The sequence below is a fragment of the Homo sapiens genome, chromosome 5 (assembly GCF_000001405.40).
Source record: "Homo sapiens chromosome 5, GRCh38.p14 Primary Assembly".
Classification (NCBI taxonomy): domain Eukaryota; kingdom Metazoa; phylum Chordata; class Mammalia; order Primates; family Hominidae; genus Homo; species Homo sapiens.
In genome coordinates this window covers 181,038,417-181,061,581 of record NC_000005.10, presented here as the reverse complement: position 1 = coordinate 181,061,581, position 23,165 = coordinate 181,038,417, and the positions used below count along the sequence as shown (strand labels likewise).

Sequence of the window (23,165 nt, the reverse complement as noted above, 5' to 3'; positions counted from 1 at the left end):
GGAGATCGTCCAGCAGTTTCATTATAGCTCCTTTCAAATGAATGATTTTGAATATGAGTATTTAAAAAAAGTGTTTTCCCCTTTATTACAGAACTGATACATATACATTATTGAACATTAAAAAATACAAAGAAGACATTTTAAGAATGCAATTACCAAACATTTTCCCATCCAAAGATAATCACTTAGTTTTTTGGTGTATCCTTCTCCCCGCCACCCAACTCTTAGTTTGCAAAATTTCAAACCCACAGCAAAGCCACATTGATAGTACAATGAACATCTGTCGACCAGTCACCTAGAGTCACCAAGTGTTGTCATTTTACTACATTTGACTTGTCTCTTTCTTTCTTTATATTCATATGTTTTATATTTTTCCACTTAGTCACTGGAAATTCAGTGGCAGACACTGTGGTAATTAATATCTAAAAACTTCAGTATGTTTGCTAAGAACAAGAATGTTCTCCTACATAGCCACAGTACAAATGTCTCACTCTGAAAATGAAGCCAGGCACAGCGGCTCATGCCTGTACACCCAGCATTTTGGGAGGCCCAGGTGGGAGGATTGCTTGAGCGCAGGAGTTTGAGACCAGCCTGGGTAACAAAGTGAGACCCCCGTCTCTATAACGCACTTAAAATTGGGCATGGTGTTGTGTGCTGAGGTGGGAGGATCACTTGGACCCAGGAGGTTGAGGCTGCACTCCAGCCTGGCCGACAGAGACAATGTCTTGGGGGTAGGGGGTGAAGAACACTTCTTTCCCCAGTTGTCAAACTAATAATGTCCTTGGTCCCATCATTGATGATGTTAAATTTAATCACTTGGATGATCTGGTAGATGTCTCCATTGTAAAGGTAACCTTTCCCCTTTCAAACTTATAAGTAGTGTATAAGGTTACTGCTTTGAGACTGGAAACAGCCTGTTCTCCAAGACTCTCACCAATAATTAGATTTCACCTCCAAAAGAAACCTTCCTGTTTCTCCTTTTTAAAAAGAAATTTGAGTATCAGCATGAACTCATGGATTATGTTTTTATTCAGTGTGTTATAATCTCTCCTGTCATTATTCATCCTGATGTTCAAATTGTCCCACAATTGGTCAGTGAGGCCCCTTCGGCCTGGCTCCCTACCCTTTTGCCGGGTTGCCGTCACGTTTTGAGCCTTTATTTTACTTCACCACACACAATGCTCCAGGCTCACCTTGAAATTTTTGCCCCGGCTCCAGAAGCAGCTGTTCCTCCAACTTCATTTTAATGGGAAATGGTTTTTAAAACTAGGATCTGAGCCTTACTTAGGTGAACTCGTTGCTTACGAAGTGTTATTGCATCTCGACCTTTTTAGAGCTAGCAAACATATACAAAAAATATAAAACTATACAAATTAACTGATCCCTCTAAGGCAGTCACCAAAGTTTTCTCCCTTCTTTCTTCCATGCTGGCTTCTTGCCCACCGCCCACCGTGAGCACCCCAGCTCTGAGCGACGTGGATATATTTGTACTCCTTCGCTCAGTCCCACAATCCACAAACGAGCTTTGGACTTGTCTCCTTTCCTTGAAGAAAATCGCACTACACATACACATCTACGTAGGCAAAGGTCCCTCTCTTTGTCCCCCTCGCTGACATTTTGGCTGGTGCACCTGCTCCCTTCAGACGGAGCAGGAGAGCAAAGCGCTGGCCTGGGATCCAGGGGGCCCCCCGGGGCCAGTCCCGCGGCCACGAGGGCGCCTCACCACCAGTCCAGGGCGGGGTCCGCGGGCTCATAGGGCTGTAGCCAGGTGTCACTGTCGTTCTCTTCGGGGACGCCCGTCCCTCTAACCGGCAGCGGGCAGATGGTCAGGGGATCCGGATGTTCGCCGCCGTCGTGGGCCCTGGGCCTGAAGTACGCACAGAGCGCGCCCGAGAAGGTGTCGTGGAAGGTGAAGATGTGGGAGCCGTCGGACACGTTGAAGAAGGACAGCTCTCCGGCCTCGTAGTCCAGGAAGACGCCCAGGCGCCGCGGGGGCACGCGCAGGGTGAGCGCGACGCGGTGCGGGGCCAGGACGAAGTACTCGCAGCCGTTCCACAGCCCCAGCACCCAGTAGCCGGCCGCAGGGCTCAGGCGCGCAGGCCCCGCGCGCGGCACCGCGGCCAGGCAGGCGCCCAGGAACCAGCGGCTGCGGCGGCCCACGTGCACCTCCCAGTAGTGGCGGCCGGCGGAGAACCGCTCCAGGCTCAGCGCGCACGTCTGCTCCGAGAACCGCTGCGGGTGGCCAGGCGCCGGGCCTGGCGGCGCCCCGCGGGAAGACACGCTCTTGCCATCCTCCGACACCTCCAGGCTGGGGTGCGCCGAGGCCGGGTCCAGCGTCACATCCACTGCGCAGAGCCACAGCGTTAGTGCCCGCCCGGGACGGTCTGGGCCCCGTCCGTGTCTTCCCCAAGGCGGACAAACCTCTCGTTTCTCTTGGTGGAATAATCGAGGAAATGAACCCCTTACCCCGACCCTCACCCCTGCAAACCCCCTCCCCAGGACTGAAGTGGCATGTGTCAGTCACTCCTGAGTGTTTGATAGTGACAAGGAATCCTGTCCTTTCCTGAACTGGAAGGTCCCTGAATTCCATACCAGAGATAGCAAAGGAAGTAGGCTGGCGGGGAGGGAGCCACGTCCCGGTCAAGGGGAAGGACCTATGGGCTGGTTCTAGTTCCTGCTGGTGGCACCACCCTGCGTGACCTTGGCATAATCAGGAGAGCGCTGAGCGTCATTTTACAGAAATTTTGGATTTTTTTTTTTTTTTTTTACATACAGTCCTTCAGAAAAGTTTTTAAAAGGATTTTAAAAGGACCTTTGAGATCATCTAGTCCAGTGCCCCACATTTCAACACCCCATGCCATCTGACAGATGGGAACCTAGGGGACCCCTTCGTCAGAGAATCTGGGAGGTTCATTACAGACTCTGCACTCTCGCCTGCAAATAGCCTCAAGCCAGATGGAAACAAACCTAGTGTAACCCCAAGGAGCGATGTGTTTGGGAGCTCACGTGTGCATGTGTGTGCATACACATGCAGGCATATGTGTCGTGTGGCGTGTTTGCAAGTGTGCGTGTGTGTCTTGTGTGTGCAGGCCCCATACTTGGCTCCTATAAAGCCCCGTCCTCTAATCTCAGATCTCTCCACCTCCCTTCTGTTTAAGATCCGGCCAAACCAAAACACAAATCAGTTTCCTGGCTTCAGTTACCTGCATATTTTTGGGCTGCTCTCCACTCTGAAACCAAACAGAAAAGGGGAAAAAAGCTCAGAAATCTCAGTCAGTAACTCTGGAACCTTAACGAAGTCTCCAGATGTATGAGGGATGCATGCAGATCGAATGACCCCATTCCCACTGTGACAACTGGTTTGAATCCAGACTGGTCTTGGGGTTCACCATGTATTTTCCTGAGAAATTTTAGATTGAGTAGAGGCCTGTGTCATTGATACCAGAGCTACGTGCAGGCTGAAATTCTGCTGGAAAAAGCAGGAGAGTGGAGCATGTAGGTAAAGAGACTCTATAAGCAGCCTGGATGCCCTGAGAGACAGAAGTGGAGCCTCAGCCTCTGACCCGCCAGGCTGTGCCCAGGAGGCCCAGCTGAGCCTGACGGGTCCCAAAGATGCCCTCCAGATGTCCTGTCTTTTCCTGGCATGCCTCCATTCTTAATGTGAATCAATCTGAGTGGATTTCTGTTGTGTTTTATCTTGTTTTGTTTTGCAACAAAGATATCACCAAGTCACAAAAGCAAAAGCAACACAAGACGTTCTCAGAGCTCCAGATATTTACAGCAAGGCTTTGCTGCCCCGGTTTTGCGTCAGGATAACTGGTGAAGCTTTAAACACCCTAGCTCTTGTGTGGAATATCTCAGTTCTACAAAGATGTTGATTTTCCCTAGTTTATCTGTAAGTTCAAAGTAATCCTATGTAAAACTCCTTTTGCATTTTTTGGGGAGATTTATGAATTTATCCTAAAATTTATATTTTAAAAATGTTCATTCACTTTAAAAAAGGAAGTGGAAATGGAGAAGGAAAACTTGTACTTTCAGCTACTACAAAAGCCATAGCAGTAAAAACAATGATGTAATAGGTGGCCAATGGACAAACTCATATAGAGATGGGAATCCAATATGCATCAAAGGTGGTTCCCCACATCAGTGGCAGCCCTGGAATGGTGGAGTAAATGGCGTTGGTAAGCCCAACTGACTATATGGAGAAAAATCACAGGATTCTCACCCAACACCTCATAAAATGGCAAATTTTAGAGGGATTAAAGATGCAAATATAACATAAAGATAGTTGAAAGGTTTTTGTAGTTACATAAAGAAAAAAAAAATAGAAGAAAGTGTAAGAGAATCTTTGTGACCTAAGTGTGAGGAAGGTCTTCAACAAAACTTCAAAAACACAAACCATAAAGAAAAAGTTGATGGATTATGTTTTATCAAAATTAATAATTCCTTTTCAATAAGGGGAACTATGGACAAAGCTAATGGCAGATGGCACAACAGAAGAAGGAATTCACGATGTTTACCCATGAGGGATTAATCTCACACACACACACACACACACACACACACACACACAGATATATAATATTCCTGTTAATAATAAAAGACAGCCATCCCATAAGAAAAATGGGTCAGTGATGTGAGCTGGCAATTTTCAGTAGAGGAAGTCCCCAGAGCCAACTAGCATATACAGAGATGCTCAATCTTCTCAGCATTCAGAGGTTGCAAACCTAAAGAACAATGAGCCATCACTTATCCCCACTGATTGGCAAACTTGGAATGCTGGTTCACATGAGATGTGGGCACATGGAATCTCACTGCATGGCTGGTGGCAGGATAACGACACTGCCTTCCTGGGATCCCACTATCCCCTTAGTGGACATACCCACCATGGGCCAGCAGTCCCCCTCCTAGTTATATACCCCAGAGAAATCTCCACACAGCGCCGTAAGGCAACACGTTTGAGACTATGCATTCAGTGTTGTTGTGGAGTTAGAGGCAGCCTGGATACCTTCTCCAGGAGGGTGGCTGGCTAAAACGAAGCACTCTGCAGTAAGGAGGAAAAACAGACTGAATGCACACGAGTGGCAGCGATGGATATTAAAGCATGATGATGCATACGGGAAAAGCAAGGAACATCACAGAACCATAAATGTCACTTACATGAACTAAGATGCATATGCATACATCGATATTCACATTTTGCAAGAATATATACAAAATATATACATTAGACTGTCTGCATTATGGGTGAATAGAGGGAGGTATGCAGAGAAGTATTTACATGTACAGCAACACACTCATGCCAGAACCATGAGTCTGAGTCTTGGAGGATGGGCACCAGGAGTCGAGGTAACTCTGATATGTAACCAGGATTGGAACTAGTGGTTTGCAGTACACTTAGTCCTCAGGACAGAGTATGACCTCTACCCAGTGACATAGATTAACACATGCTGTGTGAGGCCACGGAATGCAACCAGAATGAAGCCTGATTGGTTAATCAGGTGAGTTGGACTGGGGTGCTCAGATATAAATGAGGAGGAGTCAGAGAGAGATGGGTTCCACTCACCAGCCTGGCCTTCAGCCCGTCTCCAGTCTGAAGCAACCAAGGGAAAACAGGAAATTAGCACATCAGGACCCCAAGCTTCCCTGCTCACACATCACATCTTGCACCCACCCTGTCCCGCACCCCCCACCACCCACATAGCCAGCAGGGGTCCTGCCTGGGCATCATACCTGGTTGGGAGATGAGAAGAAGATATATGGGGAATCAGATGCAAAATGATGAATGAGGAGAAATAGTTCTTTTTTTTTTTGAGACAGAGTCTCGCTCTGTCGCCCAGGCTGGAGTGCAGTGGCGCCATCTCGGCTCACTGCAAGCTCCGCTTCCCGGGTTCACGCCCTTCTCCTGCCTCAGCCTCCCATGTAGCTGGGACTACAGGCACATGCCGCCACGCCGGGCTAATTTTTTGTATTTTTAGAAGAGACGGGGTTTCACTGTGTTAGCCAGGCTGGTCTCGATCTCCTGACCTCGTGATCCACCCGCCTCGGCCTCCCAAAGTACTGGGATTACAGGTGTGAGCCACTGGACCCGGCCCTGAGGAGAAATAGTTCTAAGAGGGGTCACTTACCAAGCTCTGTCTGAAGCTTTTCTGCAAGCAGAACACACAAAGAAAACTTCAGCCTGCAGGTGGGTGGAACCATCTTCCCAAGACAGGCCACTGGGAAGAGCTTCCTTAGTCTTAAGCCACTGCTAATCACAGCTTCATTTTTTTTTTTTTACAGCTTCCTCTTTGCCCCTTCATTGCCCTCAAAAAGAGGCCCATCTGCAGGACTCTTATGCCTCATCCTATCTTAGCTCAAAGGTGGAAATCTGCACACAGCCTAGAAGGGATACCAGATCTTAGTACTGACAGGCCTCTTCCCAGGGTTGGGGTTGTTCCTTCTGCCTGAAATCACAAGCTTCCTGGGGCGGAGCTCCCGCCTAAGTGCAGGCACTGAGGGCCGCCTACGTGAGCCTCACGGTCACTCACCGGGTGCGTTATCTGAAGGACTGGAAGGACATCACACCCAATTATTTCCCCAAATAATTACCAAGGACTCCAACATTTTGCTACTAAAAATGCATTCCTTTGATCTGTCCACCCAATGTCAAGCTCTTTCAAAAGTAAATGCTCCTGGGAGAGGCATTCATGCTATAGTGTTATGACTTACAATTCAGACTATAGCCTTAATGACTTATTAGGGCTATGTTTTTCTCATTCCCCTTGAAGGGCGAGGTAGACTGCCAGACAAGCTTTCCCAACCTTACAGTTTCATCTGAATTGCCCCCCCAACCCCAACACCATGATGGCCTTTTCCTCCATTCCCCCTCCCTTGGGTTCACTCTCTCTTCCTCTCTACAGAGACACATCCCATGGTTTCACGTCTCTGAGTCCCTCTGGGGAGAAAAGTGGATCTGAGAAATTATTTCCATTTTGGTGCAAATTAAAGGTGCCACCCTTCCTAGTGCCATTTGCATTAAAAAGAAAAGGATATTTTAAGAAGATGAACCGGAGACAGTAAACGTTTTATGATGAATTTTAACTGAATTGTCTAATTTGCAGGGGAGGAGCTGGCAGGGTCTGTGCAGAGGGTCTCGGGCAGCTGCACGGTGGCAGGCAGCCATCCTTTCAGCCCCTTAGCAAGGGAAGAGGTGGAGGCTCACAGGGATGGTTTAGAATTAGATAGTTGCCAGCCGCTGTCCAAAGGGAGCCCCTCCTCCCACTGCACAGGCACAGGGTCCGGCTGACAGGCAGCACTGTGGCCCCGCACCCAGAACTTACCCAGCTCTGCAGTGAGTTTCTCTAGAGAAAAAAAAAAAAAAAAGATGAAGAAAAGGGGAAAGACTCTCAGGTTGGGGAATGAGGCAGACAGAACAGATGGGTGAACACTGAGGCCTCACCTCCGATGCGGCACTCCCACCCGCGGTGGTCTGCGGGCCCAGGCTGGGCTGGAAGTGAGGCTCCAGGCAGGGGATGGGGAAGTGCGCACCCTTGGCTGCCCTTCTGCATAGGAGGGTGACCCAGCGCCCTCCCTCCTGCTAGTGTGAAAATCAGGGTCGGAGCCTCCCAAATCTATTAGCTCGGCGGAAACGTTAAGCCCCGGACACTGCCTCACGTAACTGGGCTGTTTTCTCGGTGCCTGACCGCCGCTTCCTGACCCTGTGCGGAGATGTTGCGCATCCGCCCGACTCCCTGTGCGCTATGAAAACCTGGACGAGGTGGCGCTGGCAGCAGAGACCCTGGTCACCGCTCCCTCTGTACAGTGTGATGTGAAGCTCCGAGGGCGTAACGACAGCAGCCGGTCAACCCTGACATCTGTGCACTAGCCTCCGTGGAAAATGCAGCCGTTCCGCACCTCCGCTTTTGTCCATATGAACGATCTTCCCCCTTCCCCACCGGGGTCACCGATCCCCGTTCCCCGGTGGCCGCCCTGACACCTCGCGCTGGAATAAACCCTCGTAACGGGACCCACAGCCTTTAGATGACGGCGGGTTTTGGCACTTGGGCAGGTGCGTGCAGAACGCCCTGTCCCCGCTCACCTTGTCTCTTCTCCGCCTGCTTCCTCAGCTTTTCTGAAGGGAAACGGGAGCGGAGAGGGCTGAGTGCGCGCCCCCGCCCCTTCCAGGCCGCCTTCCCGCGCCGCGTCCTGGGGGGAGGCGCCTCCGCGGCCCCGGGGTTCAGCACCGGCCGGTGCCCCTCCCCGCCCCGCCGCCCGCGCCGGTACCTCGGCTTCTCCGCTGCTTCCGGAGGACGCCCAGCGCCAGCGCCGCGAGGACCAACAGCAGCGGCAGGGTCGCGACGAACGCGCTCTTCCACGCAGAGGCTCCGGGTACGAACACGTCTGGAAAACACCCGCGGGGGCCGTGTCGGTCCAGGCGCCGCTGAGCACCGAGAGGCGAGACCGGCCTGCCCGCCGCGTGCCGGGAAACCTCCCGCGGGACCTTCTCCGGGCGCCACCGCAGCCGCCTGGGAAACGGGCGTGGAGCGGGAGCGCGCGCGGCGGAGGGGGCGGGGGCGCGCGCGGCGGAGGGGGCGGGGGCGCGCCGCGGGGCGTGCGGGAGGGAACCGCGCCCCAGCCCGGCTCGAGGCTTCTGCGGCCGCAGCGCCGCCCTCGCCCCGCGTCTTCCCGCCCTCGCCCCGCGTCCGCAGGCGGGAGGGTCCCAGGGGCTTGGCTGGCGGCGGATGTCCGGGGAGCTCCTGCTCGCACCCGCGCCGTCTGGTCCGCAAGTCGTCTCCTCGCTTGTTTGCAAACATCCGGCTTCTCCCTCGGTTCTTACCACGCTTTTGGAAGAAGTGAGAACCGAACCACGTGCGCGCGGCCTCGCAGCTCCCACGTCCCTCCCGGCTCCCCAGGGAGGACCCGCCCGCAGGCAGGACGTGGCCGGGGGCAGCGCCGACAGCACCAGCGGCGCAGGGACGCGCAGAACCCACCGGCCCTTCGCAAACCCTGTGGCGGTTGAATAGAGTAACTTTCTGTCTGTGTCATCTAGTTATTAGAAAATGGTGCTTTTATCTCAGATCTTTAAAAAATGTTCTTTTTATTGTAGTAAAATATACGTAACAACCTTTCCCATCTTAACCATTTTTAAGTGTACAGTTCAGGGGCATTAAGTGCATTCACCATGTCGTGTGCAACCATCACCCCCGCCCATCTCCAGAAGTTTCTTCATCTTTCAAAACTGAAACTCTGTACTTATTAAACAGTAATTCCTCTTCCCACGCCCAAGCCCCTGGCGCCCTCCGTATACTCTCCATCCCTGTGGACTTGACTCCTCTAGGTAATCCCACATCCGTGGAATCAGACGGCATTTGTTCTGTGTGTCTGGCTTATAAGTGACATCAGTGGACTGTGGTTTTTAATTTTGTTTTTCTAGCAGTGCATTTTTATTGTATGGTACAAAAACACTGGGTCACAATGGATTGGTCCTCACAACAGATGGTGTCTGAAGCAATGGCCTGGGGTCAAGGGCAAGGGCTCAGGGCGGACTGTCTCTCTGACCTGTGACCCTCCCCCTCGACCCTCTGGCCTCCTCGCTGTTCTGCCAGCAGCCGGCAGTTTCCCTCTCAGGCCCCTGGCTTTGCCCTTCCCGCCACCAGAATGCCTTCCCAAAGGTATCCATGTGAGTCACGCCCTCTGTAGAGGGGTCCGCGCATGCAAACATTTACCCATCTAAAAATTTTTATATAAACTTGTTTCATAATAAATATCAATAATATAAATTAAGATTTATATTAAAAGCTAAAAAGAAAATATTGGGTTTTTCCTGGTGCAAAAAGAGAGACTCTTTCCTCTTCCCCTCTCTTAGTTCATTTTCCTTAGAAAATATATCAGTTCTTTCTTTACAACCCAATAATGTTTTCCTTAAGGGCCACTTGTTTGAAATGTAAACATAAAAGAGAGAGCACTGCCGTGGAGATCCCTGTCTCATGGGAGTTTAGCTTAGCTGCGTGGCTCCAAGTTGTATGCCCTAGACGTATCACATGCTTGATTTTTCCTTTGGTTAAAGACAGTTGGCTCACACAGATGGCCATCCCAATTCCCACGGAATTTAGAACTGCTGTGGTAAGCGGTGTTGCCAGGTCCTCCTACTTGCAGACAAGTTATCATTTATCTTGAGAACATGTGTGCATTGGCTTGTATCTGACTGACTATATCAAAGGGGGAGTTTTTTTCTGTTATAATAAAATAGCTTTTGATTTGGACTCGTGTGAAAAGTGGCCCGTATGTTGGGTTTGTCCTTAAAATGTAAAACAATTAGAACCATGAACTTGAAACCCTTCAGTGGCTGCCTCATAATAAGACTTTAATAATGACCTTGCCTTCAGCTCACTGCCTACACGCCCACTTCCTGGACGTGCCTTTTGTAATCTGTGGACATGCCTCACTGCTTTCAGCCTGCTTCATTTTTCTCTACGGCACCTACCACCTTCTTCTTGTTTTTTTTTTTTTTGTTTTTTTTTTGAGACGGATTCTCGCTCTGTTGCCCAGGCTGGAGTGCAGATCTCGGCTCACTGCAACCTCTGCCCCCCGGTTCAAGCGATTCTCCTGCCTCAGCCTCCCGAGTAGCTGGGATTACAGGCGCCTGCCACTATGCCGGGCTAATTTTTGTAATTTTAGTAGAGATGGGGATTCACCATCTTGGCCAGGCTGGTCTTGAACTCCTGACCTCATGATCCACCCGCCTTGGCCTCCCAAAGTGCTGGGATTACAGGCGTGAGCCACTGCACCCGGCTGCACCTACCACCTTCTAACGTGATGTGACAGGATGCACTTCTTTTGCTTATTGTCTGTATCCCCCACTGGCATGGGGACCTGAGGGTAGGGACTGGGGTCACGTTGTGGAAACTCAATACATACTGTTTGAGAGACAGCATTACGAATCTATTGGCTCCCATGATGCCTCTGATGAGCAGAGTTGATGGGTTTTAGTGTATGGCCTTAGGCACAGAAAGGCGGGCTCTCTGGGGCCTCTCTCACTGACTGTTTGGGTTCTCAGTAGCGTTCTTAGTGTGTTCCTAATATCCAAGGTGCTGACTTTTCAGGTGTCAAGGCCAACACACCCTATATGCAGACAGGCGCAGTACCATTGTGTCTTTATAGACTGCCTTTGGGCCAATGTGTATGTACACATGAGGACTAGGAAGATGGGTGTGAGCTAACAGCCACTGACCTGCTATCTGGACCACCAACTCTTTCTTCTGGCTCAAGAGGAGATTCTGGATGGAGACGGACACATTGCTGAGGGCTCCCGCTCGGACAACCACAGATGTTTCCAGACTGAACAGGTCCTGGGCATCCCAGACGATGGCTTCAAACTCTGGAGGCAGGCACTGTCCCTGGTGGTCTCTCCACTGAACCTTAGGCTTGGGGTACCAGCCACTGGATCTGAGCCTCAGCTGAATGCCTCCTTCCTTGAAGCCCTCAAGGGAGAGGTGAGGGTCTGAGCCCAGCCCTGGTGGAGGCAGGAGGAGTGGGAAAGGTCAGGCTTCTTCTGAGAAATCACGCATAACATTCCTGCCACTGTTCAGCATTTGCAGTCACCATAAAGCATCATGAAGTGTGACTGCTATTAAGACGTGTGTGGGCTTGGCGCTCCCCGCCCATGGACGGGAAATGACAGTCTAAATCAGTGGTAGCATGTGGGGACAGTAATGCCCCTGAGGGACATTTGGAAATGTGAAGGGGGTCATTGGGTGGGGAAGGGCTCCTGGCATTTAATCATGTTAGGCAAGGGACAGTTTCCCTAGAATGAAGAATAGCAGCACCCTAAATTCTAATAATTAGAGTTGTGACTCTTCTCCTTCTCTTGAATTCCCCCAGAGCTCTAGTGCCTGCATTATACACACTCCCTTATCTCTCCATCCTTGTGGAACTAGCATTATATTTTGAGTATGCAAAACATTAATGTGGCATAAATGCCAATGCTGTACAGAAATGTGTATCAGGAAAAAAGCGCCATCCTTCCCGTCATCACACCTCACCCTCAGCGGCCAATCTCATCAGCTTCTAGTTTATCCTTCCTATGTTCCCTTTTGCAATGTTTCTCCTTCTTTCTTACAAAGCAAGTGTATGTTATCGAACCTTGCATCTTACTTTTCTCTCTTAACAATACTAGAAATCACTCTGCATCCATTCAGAGACCACCTCATCATTGTTTCAGATGCATAATACAGATTACTCCATTGGGTGGATAGAGCATACTCAGCTTTTATGCTTGGACATTTAGGTGGTTTCCACTATTTTGCAATTGTTTTTAAAAAGCTTTACAAAGATTAAACTCATACATATGCTTTTTTCATATTGGAGGTATCGGAGGTGGAGTAAGTTCCTGGAGGTGGGATTGCTGTGTCAGAGGGTAGCCACACAGCTAGTCCTCTTAAGTATTACCAAATTTCCCTGTCCGGGAGCTTTCCAACTTTGAATTCCACTAACATAGTATAAGACAGCTTTCTTCTCCATAGCTCCATTAACAGTACATGGAAGAGCTTTTGAAATTTTGCTAGTCTGACAGTTAAAAAAAAATTGCATTTTGACATAGCTTTGATTTGCCTTTCTCTCACTATGAGTAATTTTGTTACTCAATATATTATATATTATATATATTATATAATATATATTATTTTTATATTATATATATTTATATATCATATATATGATATATTATATAACTAATATAATTATATAATATTATATAACTAATATAATTATATAATATTATATAACTAATATAATTATATAATATATAACTATATAATTAATATATAGCATACTATATATATCTATATCTATATATATAGATAGATATATATATAGATATATATATATATTTCAAGACAGAGTTGTCACCCAGGCTGGAGTGCAGTGGCAAGTCAAGCTCACTGCAGCCAGATCCTTCCACCTCACCCCCCTGAGTAGCTGGGACTACAGGCACGCACCACCACACCTGGCTAAGAGATGGGGTCTCCCTATGTTGCCTGGGCTGGTCTCGAACTCTGGAGCTCAAGTGATCTGCTTGCCTCGGTCTACCAAAGTGCTGGGATTACAGGCTTGAGCCACTGTACCCGGCCCTTTTCATATATTTAAGGGCTATTTGTGTATTTTTTGGTGAACTGTTTGTTTTGTTTGTTCATTTGAGAATGGACCTATCCATCAGCTTTTATGTTTTTTAAAAATCACCGACATTCTTCTGTTCTCTGTGACTCCACCTCTACTTGGCAAAGCACCTGGATCTCCCTCTCCTCTGCAGGGCCTTAGGTCAGTCCACGCACCTGCTACCTCCAGTTCCCAGAGAGCTTCGCCAGAGAAGTTGTCGGAGTGGAAGCGGCAGCCATATGTGCCCTTGTCAGAGGGGATGATGCTGTGAAGCTGCAGGACCACGCTGCCATAGGCGATGTCGTCCTTGACCAACTTGGTCCTGTTCCGGAACGCCGGCATCTGCCTGCCAGGGAGCTCCTGCTGCTCCTGGTACAGGTGTACCACATTGAAGGTCTGACTCCGGAACCAGCGGATCTCCATTTGCTGGGCATCCAGCTGTGGCCATAGGTGGCACGGGAACTCCACCTCCTCCCCGACGAGGGCCAGGATGGGATACTCAGGGCCTAGCACCTTGACCTCTAGGATGACAAGTCAGAACAGGCAAAAGCAACCCTCATCCAATTTTTAAAAAAGTTATCACACCCCTTTATAGCTGAGGAATCTACAGTAAACCATAAAAACAAGAAAGGTGAGATACTCTACAGGACAACTGGCCTAGATCCTTGAACAAGTAATTTTTACGAAAAAACGTTGAGTGCACGATTAAACAAATACACAGGTGACATCACAACCAGATTTGTGGTGCTGAGCTGGTAACTGGTTTCATCCAACCAGGTACAAATGTTATTTTGGGGACAATTATGTAAATATGACCAAGGCATTAAGCGAAATGGAATCTTTGATCAAAAAAGCAAGTGTCAAAATAATCTGTAGAATATTATCTTAAGTAAAAAACATACGTATTTGCATAAATGTGCAGAGAAAAATACCTGAAAGGAGACATCAAATTGCTGATGGTGATAATTTCTGCATGATGAGAATAGATATTTTCTCATTTTTGCTTGTCTGATTTTCCAAGTTTAAAAAATAATTCACATGTACAGCTTCTACAAAGGGTATCAAAAATCATCCATGAGGGCTTCCTGCTCCACAGGTTTTCTTATCAAAAGGCCAACCAAATCCTTCCTTTGAGACTCATTTGTTGGGATCTTTCATTTGATCACCCTCCTCTTTGACGGCTTCTTCATGGGGCCTCTCTGCTCCCTGTGGTCTGGTCTGTTGTCTGCAGTTCCCATGAGAGTTGCTGCTCCTGCACAGTTCTTCCGCACGCACGGTTCCCTGCCACCCCACAGGCACTCACTCTTCTCTCTGGCCTCTGTACTTCTCCTCTCCTTTCTTTCCAAGTTCAGCTAAAACTCCATCCCAAAGCTCTCTTGTCATGGACACCCCTGTCCTGCACTTGGCCCACAGGAAATGGAGGGACCTTCCTTTGTTCACACTATTTGAGGCACCTCATTGCCCGCTGGGTGAGTATCCAATACCCTTCCTACAAGTTTCCCTCTCCAGGTTCTCTCCGGCTGTCTCTCTCCACACACCGATGTCTGACTGTTTCCCTGGGCACACCCTACCTCAGCTAATCCCCTACCTGTCAACTTCCTGGGGAACGTGCATCCTGTAAGCCTCTGCTCCAACTATATTCCCACTCTACGGCTCTCCTCAGCTTTCCGGGAACAAATCATTGCTCTTAGCTGTGCTCCCAAGGTCTTTGGACACAATTCTCTCTCTCTCTCTCTCCCTCTCTCTCTCGCTCTCTCTCTCTCTCGCTCTCTCTCTTTCTCTCAGCCATGGTCACATAAATGGACAGCCATTTATGCCACATCCACACCCCTCCCTTGACTACAGACTGCTGAAGACCTGGGCTATGTTGCAGTCACCTTGGTATTCCTGGTTTCCAGCCCAGGAAATTAGGAAATTACCTTTGAATTATTAGTTTGCACCCTCTGTTGGCTACATCTTTCATGAGAGAAGATTTGCAAGGGGTAAAATTAAAAACGTATATCAATGGGTTCAGCACAAACACAGGCCAGTGAGTTTCCTGGCACCGTCTTGCTCTGCTCCCTGCTATGCCTGTGGATTTCGGAGTGCTGGGAAGTGTGCAGGAGGTGTTGGGGGCTGGAGAGATGGTGGAGGAACACTACAGGCTGGGGAGATGGTGGAGGAGGTGTTGGGGGCTGGAGAGATGGTGGAGGAACACTACAGGCTGGGGAGATGGTGGAGGAGGTGTTGGGGGCTGGGGAGATGGTGGAGGAGGTGTTGGGGGCTGGGGAGATGGTGGAGGAGGTGTTGGAGGCTGGGGAGATGGTGGAGGAGGTGTTGGGGGCTGGGGAGATGGTGGAGGAGGTGTTGGGGGCTGGGGAGATGGTGGAGGAGGTGTTGGGGGCTGGGGAGATGGTGGAGGAACACTACAGGCTGGGGAGATGGTGGAGGAGGTGTTGGGGGCTGGGGAGATGGTGGAGGAGGTGTTGGAGGCTGGGGAGATGGTGGAGGAGGTGTTGGAGGCTGGGGAGATGGTGGAGGAGGTGTTGGGGGCTGGGGAGATGGTGGAGGAGGTGTCGGGGGCTGGGGAGATGGTGGAGGAACACTACAGGCTGGGGAGATGGTGGAGGAGGTGTTGAGGGCTGGAGAGATGGTGGAGGAGGTGTCGGGGGCTGGGGAGATGGTGGAGGAACATCACTACAGGCTGGGTAATGCTCGGGGTAGTGGCTCTTTAACAACCAGGATGGAAGTCTTTTTTGTATTTTAGCGTCTGGCACGCCCTGGTACTGTGCTAAGATCGTAGCCCTGGGGAGCACCTGGCAGGAGGGGTGGCGTTCACATCCTGGCCAGCTAGGCTGCAGACACAATACCTGAGCTCGGCTCCCCAGGCTGAAGGAGGAGGAGGTGCATGAGGAAGACAAGACTGCTGGTCAGCGATACTGGCTTCAAGGAGTCTGGGGAGACTGAGAGGTCCACCATCTCTCGTCAGCAGTGGGGGCCACCTGGAGAGGGACAAAGGGGTGCTGGAGCGACGTGCAAAGGTAGGGGGAGCTGGAACTCACTCCATCAGACCTGAAGTCTGTTGTGGCCTCAGTTATTTTTGTCTAGTTCTCAAATTCCTTACAAGCCTCAGCGCTTGGCTTCTTCCATGGCCAGAGGGGAGAGCTGCTTCTAATTTTCCCAGGGGACACTGTTAATGGCATCCGTGGCCTTGCCCAGGTTCACAGAGCTGCAAGGGGACGAGGCTGAAGGATCCCAGAGGAAGCAGCTTCTGTGCTGCTTATTGTTTAGAGCCAGGAATAGAGCCACACAATGTGTGGGGGCTCAGCGCCCCCCCTTTTCTGGGCTTAGCGACTTTCCTCAAACAAAGGGCAATCTCTGAAGATCTCAGATGCATTTTCATTCTTCCTGCCTCACCACCACCAACCCAACCTTCGTCCCACTTCCCTTTGGTCTGGAACATCGAGTCCGCAAAACAGAGGAACAAACACAGAGTTCTGCTCTCTCAGAAGTGGAGTGCATGCAGGTGGCTGCCTGCCAGCCCCAACGACATCCTAGGACACTCTCCTCCAGGCCTGGGACCTCAAGTTGTGCCTTCAGGAGGCCAGCTGGTAACTGTCTCTGTGTCGATAGCATCTTCGGGGCTACAGTGATGGAGTCATCCCATCTAGCCACCCCTTCCTCATCTATGACCCAGGAGGCCCAGACCTGGCCCAGACAAGGGCTACCCCCTCACTCCTGATGCTCTGCTCCCTTGGGACCCACTAATGACTCACGGCCAGAGAGTGTGCTGCTGCCAATGAGTCTCTGGAGATACACAAAACTCTCCATATTTCTCTTGCATTTAGTTCTGCAAGATTTTAGGCAGATTCTGTCATTGGCTGGACCGAAATCTCTGCCTGAACCATGGAAGAAACCAATGCCCACTCCCATGGGTTGCTAGGAGCTCTTGAAATCAAAGTCAGCACCTCCCTTCCCCCTGCCTTCCCAACGCCCACGCACTGTCTTCGTCCTGGGACTGCACCCCTTGCCTTTCACTTCATCACAGTGCCCTTGTTGGAAGGCCACGGTGGGCTCCTCTCTCCAACCCTCTCTGTCTCCCCGTCGGCCCCCACGGCTTGGCTTTTCTTCCGAGACCTTGGCATGGCAGGTGTTTCCGGTGTCCTGTGGCCACAGGGCACTGGCCACACTGTCAGCAACACCATCAGCAGGTGTGAAGGAAGGACTTTCAAAGCTGCTGGGCCATGCAGAGGCAGAAGGATCAGAGGAGGTGTGCAGGGTGAGTTAATGAGGTGGTAGAGGCTCCCCAGGGACCCTTAGGCTAGGAGGCACCCAGACAGGCAGGAATACAAGGGAAGAGGGGTGGCCTGTGAGGCGCATGGGCTGATGGCCCTGTCTCCTAGAGCTAAAATTGAGGGGACAAACAGAGGACAGGTTGGGACAGCTCCAGGTGTGTTTCAAGAAGGTTCAAGGACAGGAGGTGGGGTCCCCCCGAAGCGGGGCCGTGTTGACACCTCTCAGTTATTGGAACACGATTCACACAATAACCAGCATGGGCAGAGGCCTCGGGCAGGGTCCAGGCCCTGGCTGGACAGTCCAGACTCTCACCCTCTGTGGCTACTGGTGGAAGCCTCTCTGCGACAGGTGGGGAAGCTGGCAAGGAAGGGTTCCAGCAAAGGGGTCTACACTGGTTGTGCACCTTCTCACCCTCTCTTCTGTTCCCTTCTCTTTTCCTTTATACTTCAGTCTTTTCTTCTGGATTCTAGACACAGGTTAGAGCTCCATGACAGCAAAACCAGGAGGGGCACGTCAGTGTTCAGCTAGTAACTTCCAAAACCAAGAGGGGCTCAGGGTGTGTTTATGCATCCATTCAGATGGGTTGGGTTCTGGGGAATTAGTCGAGGTTGTGTTAGGTTGTGACACAGGTCTGCTCATAAGGTGGTAATGGGGCGCGAGACAGGTCCCACAGCTGGCCTTCTCACAGAAGGAGCACTCACTCCAATTTCCCTGGACTGGGGGCAGGCTGCCACCTCCTGGGGACAGGGGATTGGGGCAGGATGTTCCAGAACCGTGGAAGTGCTAGAGGGACCTCAGTTCTCTGTTGTGATACACCCGTGTGATTCCCATCATGGAATCTTCAGGGGAGGAGGATTGTAGACACACACACACACACACAGACACACACACATGCACACACACACAGACACACCCATGCACACACACACAGACACACACATAGACACACACACAGATGCACACACACAGACACATACACACACACACACGTGCTGACAGTAATAAAACTAACATGCATTGGGTACTTCCTATCTATCAAACACTTATCTATACCTCAGTATTATTATTTTTATTATTATTATTACTAATAGGTCCAAATTATAGATAAGGAAACGGAGGCCCAGGAGCTGAGTGACTTGCTCCTGCACACAGTGGGTGAGTGGTGGGGTGGGGTTCCACCCACTGTCTGGTTCCAGAGCCTCGCTCTGCACTTCTCGAATTCAGATTCCTCACCAGCTACGTCGTGTGTCTGGGTACACCCTTCCGTCACTCCTGTTACCCAAAACCATGACCGTCTCAGGAACCAGCTGGCCACAGACCAAACACTCACCCTAACCTGCCATCACACAGAGGCACTGAAGAAGCGACCGGCTCACACGGTGCCAGCCACAAAACCAGCCAACCAGCCAACTAATGAATACAAAATTTAAAATCCCGCTGCCAGATAAAACAACTTAAAGCTGAGGTCTCCCTAAGACTTTGTCAAGAGCATCTTCTGAGCCAGGAGGAACAGGTACCTGGTCCCTTTGCTCCCAACACTCAAGGGTATCATCTTGAAAGCCTTTAGCAGAGAGAGATGGTCTGGCAGCTTCCTGAAGGGAAAAGTCAGCGGCTCCTGGACAGCACCCTCCTCCCCGTTTGCTGCTGTGCGTCCGCCCTTTCTGACCTCACTCTTCAGTTAAGGATCCAGGGTGCTCAATCCTTACTTGAAGCGTAAGTCCCCTCCTCGAAGGAAACACTTTCCACCCTCTGCTATTTTGATTACAGTGTAAATTGATTTCAGGTTGTTCCTGGTGAGGAGGTTTTGCCTGGGGAAGGAGTAAGGGACTGGACGCGTCGGATATTTGGGGAAGAAGGAAAACCCAGTGTGCGCAAGGACCACAAAGGGGTCCTCCAGCTGGAGCTGAGCTCTGCCGGCGGGCACGTGCTGCTTGTCCTCCCAGGAGCCTTGGGCTGCTCCCTCCGGAAGGCACAGGGAGAAATAAGGGGTCCTGAGAAATGTCACTGCCTGCACCCAGCAAAAGCCCATTTCTTTCTTCTCCTTCTCTTTTTATTTTTCTTTTCTTCTTGCTCTCTCATTGCCCCCAGCCCGCCCCACTCCTGTTCTCTCCTCCTGCACCTGCAATTCCTAAACAACCCTGATGTTTTTCTGATTTCCGGTCCCTCCGTCGAGTCTGTCTTTAAAGATGAGTACTTTTTGCTTTGCTACTGTTATTTTTTTAGATAATTTATTGTTAAATAAAGAATTTTAAAGCAAAATGCAGTGGGACAGATGTCAAAGGCAAGTTGAAAACATAATTTCTGTCAAATACTATTCTGGATTTCCTAAGGTTAGGCACAAGAAAAGCATCAAATGAAAAGGTACTTACTCAAACTAAGTCTTTTTAAAAAGTCTGTATTTGAAAGGAAAACAACTTTTCACTAAAAATATAAATCATTCTTATTACAGGAAAACCATAATTTAAGAGACTGAGAAAAGTTTTTGATTCACAAATAAATGGCATCTCCCTAATACACTTAGGACTGTTTGTTTTTAATCAGTGACTCTTAAAAATCACTGCTTCCACCTGACAAACTCAGGCGAATCACTATGGATTGGTGTCCTCTGAGCCACCCTGAAGCATCCCATTTTCTCTACACATGTCCTTTTCTCCAACTTTCAGCAAAGCAAGAATGGAGAAAAAGAGGATTAGAAGGAACTTCAGTTGGTTCCCTGGTGAATAACTTAACAAAATAAAACCTGCTTTTCCATTTGTATTACACATTCACAATCTCTCACTCTTACTTACTCTATTGGTGAATTTCAGATTCTGTCCACACATATAATTATTTGCCTGAACTTAACACTATCTTCCTGACAAATAGTAAATCTCCCAAGGACATCTCCGAACCTGGCAGTGTCCACAGGCCACGTCCTCCCACAGGAGTCCCTCGCCTGCTATGCAGCTGTTGGCGTCCTGAGCGATCCCAGTGTTTCCATGGGGGCAGAGCAAAACCTTGGGGATTCTCTAACATAATTTTAAGACTACATTTCACACTTAAATGACCACGTTATGAAACCTGGCAGGAAAATCCATGTTATTAATAAATGCCATGTCTCTTGCTCTCCCAAACACAGGAAGTATTTTTTGCTCTGCATATGTCTGCGGAGACTGTGGGGTCCCAGAGTGGAAAACTTCTCTAGTAACAAAGTACAGAAATTATCCCTGAAGTATAGTCTTTGCTTTGCTACTTCTGTAAGCTGTGTAACTGGTGAATTTTGCCTGTCTCCTGTCCTCCACTCCCCAAGCTGCAAGTCCGCAGGTGTCAGTGGGGCCTTGGCCCTCTCCCACGGGCCTCCCCGACACCCCCTGCAATGCCCTTCCCCCCGGCAGACCCCAGCTAGTGCTCACTGCCTGCGCTGGTTTGATTTCGATAGGTCCACAAGAGGATTTCCACCCTCTTAGTCTCTAAGGAAGATGGACTGCCCCAAGAAGGGAACCGCAATGAGGCTTGAAATCTTTTTCGTCTGGTGGGGGCAATGGGATGTATCAGGATCCTGCCTCCTGAGATGCGGCCCACCTAAACGGGCGTGGACATCTCCTCTTGGCCACACTCGAAACATCCCATGCTGCGGCCAAGCTCGGATAATAAAATGGTGCCACTAATTGTACGCCTTCCCAAAGCCTCCCACCTTCATTTTCTGATTGCCGTTTCTGAAAGATGGAGGTGTAGGCAGCTGTTGAGAATGAGCCACTTACCTGGCAGGTAGCAGCAAAAGGTCTGAAATGGCAGATGAGTCCTGGTGAGCTCACCTCCTCTGCAAAGGGTGATGATTGCTGTAAAGTGTCTTGGTCCCAGATGCTAAGATTCCCTAGACGTGGACTGGCAGCTGAGCTCCAGAGGCCAGGGCACGTGTGACAGAATTATTTATCCATCTTCCACCCTAAGATATATGCCGTTTGCTCTGCCCTTGGCTATGGAAACCAAGATGGATAGAACAAAACAAGGAAGTCGTCACATCCTGTCTCTGAGAAAAATCTTGAATTCCCATGTAAAATATCTCTCCAGGGTCACAGAAGGAGGGGAAAGGTATCTGAGAGCTTTGTAGAGAGCGACAGCTGCAGAGGCTCAAAGTGAGGAGAAAACGCTCCAGCTGGGTTCAGGGTCTTTGTGCCAGTGAAGCTCGGACTCCAAGGAGGCAGGGTAGCAGTCCCCGAACAGTGAAAGAGAGTAGACTGCAGTCTCCACTAACTAACCACGAGGAAGGGGCTGATGACCAATTTTTAACCCACCATAACCTTCTCCTCAGGACAAGGTCAGTAAGGAACAAATCCTGGGGGCATTGTCGTGAGGCAACCTGCAAAACCTGTTCACGTGCAACTTAGAAATGCAGGAGGGTGCTGGATTGGGATTTCTCTAGTGGAGAAGAGGTCAGAAAAGAAGCAGCAAGCACTACCCCAGCCCAGCCCACCCCATCTTACTGTAGGCCATGGTGCAACTTGGGCATTAGCGGACTGAGGCACCAGCCACCCAGCTGCAGCCCACACTGACGTCCCCTCCAGGGAACAGGCCAGAGCTGAGGCACGAGCAGCTCAAGCACATGCAGTGTTGTGGGAAACTGAGGACCGGAGAGACCGATGTGAAGAACAGGAGGATTGTTTATTTTAGGTACACACCGGCTCAGTGGACTCACATCCAAAAAGCTGAGCATTAAACAAAGACAGAGCGGGGTTTTTGTAAGTGGACTTACAATAAATAAAACAAAAGCAGCTAATCATGATAGGTCACATAATCTATAGCATAGCATAACTTGTGGCCTTGCACAGCGGGTGACTTTGTAGCTGCATTGAAAGAAAAACAAGAACTGGCTAAGTACAGACATTTGTAAAACACAATCATGCTTAAGAAGCCTGGGAAAACAGTAACAGTAAAAGAATTTGTCTTTCTCTCTTTTTCCTTCAACCTTGCTCTGGAAGTGGGGCGGCGGGTATCTGGAGCCCATTCCTTTGGCCTTGGCTTTCTGGACACTGTTATAACTGTCCTTGCAGTGGGCTTGCTATAGGCAGAGGAAAACTTGTCCTTTACTTTTTAACCCTTGCCTTGCCTGTTACTTTTCTTGGAGTGAATGAAGGCATATGTATTTTTAAATTTTCTGCCTCAGTAGCACACCCCAGGGACTCCCAGAAGTGCCTGTGTTTGTAGAGGGGCCTCTGCAGGTGACAGGGCGCTACATGGGTGGGAGACGGGAGCCAGCAAGCTTCAGGCATGGACCTGGAGGTGACTGTCTGTGCTCAGACAGGCTGGTGAGACTGGGCACCCAGGCTTATTAATGTGAACAGATGTCCCTAGGACAGCAAAAGGGGCTGAACAGTGAGCTCAAACAGTGGGTGCAGTTCCCCGGGCCTGGGGAGACAGAGGAGGGCTCAAGGACAGGGTATACTTAAGATGGATGCTGCATAAACAGTAGGATCAGGGAAGCCATGGGCAGCCCGGGAGGACAGAGCCTGCGAGGACAGACATTCTTCGTGGAGGGAGGTGATTAGCATGTGGGAGGTAGGAAAAGGCTAGGGGTTAGCCAGACCAGTGTGTGGCTCACTAGTGGAAGGGAAGGTTGAACAGAAGTGGATGGGACCACATTGCAGAGGCCCTTGCATGCCACATAGGGAAGTGAAAGAGAAGGAAAATTGCACTTGTAGAGAGGGGCTGCTCGAAAACGAGAACATGGCCTAAACTTTTCATTGCCCTTAGGTTGGATTCCTCCATGCTGCCTGGGG

The 23,165-nt window shown here is 49.9% G+C and overlaps 1 protein-coding gene and 1 non-coding gene across 14 annotated transcripts, besides 2 other annotated features; one reads left to right on the top strand and one right to left on the bottom strand.

The window, feature by feature from the left end:
- Positions 1–60: 60 nt before the first annotated feature.
- BTNL9 (butyrophilin like 9) lies at positions 61–21,316 on the bottom strand. 13 transcript variants are annotated; one of them, XM_024454380.2, is made up of 11 exons: positions 21,150–21,316; positions 15,984–16,115; positions 13,311–13,655; positions 11,213–11,494; positions 8,266–8,382; positions 8,081–8,113; positions 7,323–7,343; positions 6,129–6,149; positions 5,567–5,593; positions 3,204–3,230; positions 61–2,432 (listed from the first exon to the last, which is right to left on the bottom strand). In XM_024454380.2, the coding sequence occupies exons 2-11, from the start codon at positions 16,090–16,092 to the stop codon at positions 1,720–1,722; spliced, it is 1,695 nt and encodes a 564-aa protein (XP_024310148.1). In that variant the 5' UTR covers positions 16,093–16,115; positions 21,150–21,316; the 3' UTR covers positions 61–1,719. The 13 variants fall into 13 exon arrangements, with proteins under 13 accessions (XP_024310148.1, NP_689760.2, XP_047272773.1 ...); NM_152547.5 differs by having other exon boundaries at positions 61–2,345; XM_047416817.1 differs by lacking the exon at positions 21,150–21,316 and adding an exon at positions 14,067–14,183 and having other exon boundaries at positions 15,984–16,073.
- Positions 7,608–8,172: an enhancer, noted in NCBI's record as "H3K4me1 hESC enhancer chr5:180480410-180480974 (GRCh37/hg19 assembly coordinates)". NCBI's record gives its function as "activates a minimal SCP1, AML or CMV promoter by ChIP-STARR-seq in naive H9 embryonic stem cells {active_cell/tissue: H9 hESC(naive)}" and the evidence as "EXISTENCE:reporter gene assay evidence [ECO:0000049][PMID:30033119]".
- Positions 15,173–15,700: a silencer, noted in NCBI's record as "fragment chr5:180472882-180473409 (GRCh37/hg19 assembly coordinates)". NCBI's record gives its function as "represses an EF-1alpha promoter that drives an FKBP-Casp9 reporter gene in an ReSE screen in K562 erythroleukemia cells {active_cell/tissue: K562}" and the evidence as "EXISTENCE:reporter gene assay evidence [ECO:0000049][PMID:32094911]".
- Positions 18,098–18,179, top strand: MIR8089 (microRNA 8089). The gene has a single exon (NR_107056.1). It is a non-coding gene; the product is annotated as a microRNA 8089 (primary transcript).
- Positions 21,317–23,165: the final 1,849 nt, after the last annotated feature.

Excerpts from the sequence above, each read along its gene's own strand:
- BTNL9 (XM_024454380.2), bottom strand. The coding sequence starts at position 16,092 with ATGGTGGACCTCTCAGTCTCCCCAGACTCCTTGAAGCCAGTATCGCTG. Across the intron at positions 11,495-13,310 it reads CTGGGAACTGGAGGTAGCAG|GGCTGGGCTCAGACCCTCAC; the intron begins GTGCGTGGACTG and ends TGCCTCCACCAG. Across the intron at positions 3,231-5,566 it reads ACGGGCTGAAGGCCAGGCTG|AGTGGAGAGCAGCCCAAAAA; the intron begins GTGAGTGGAACC and ends GTTTGGTTTCAG.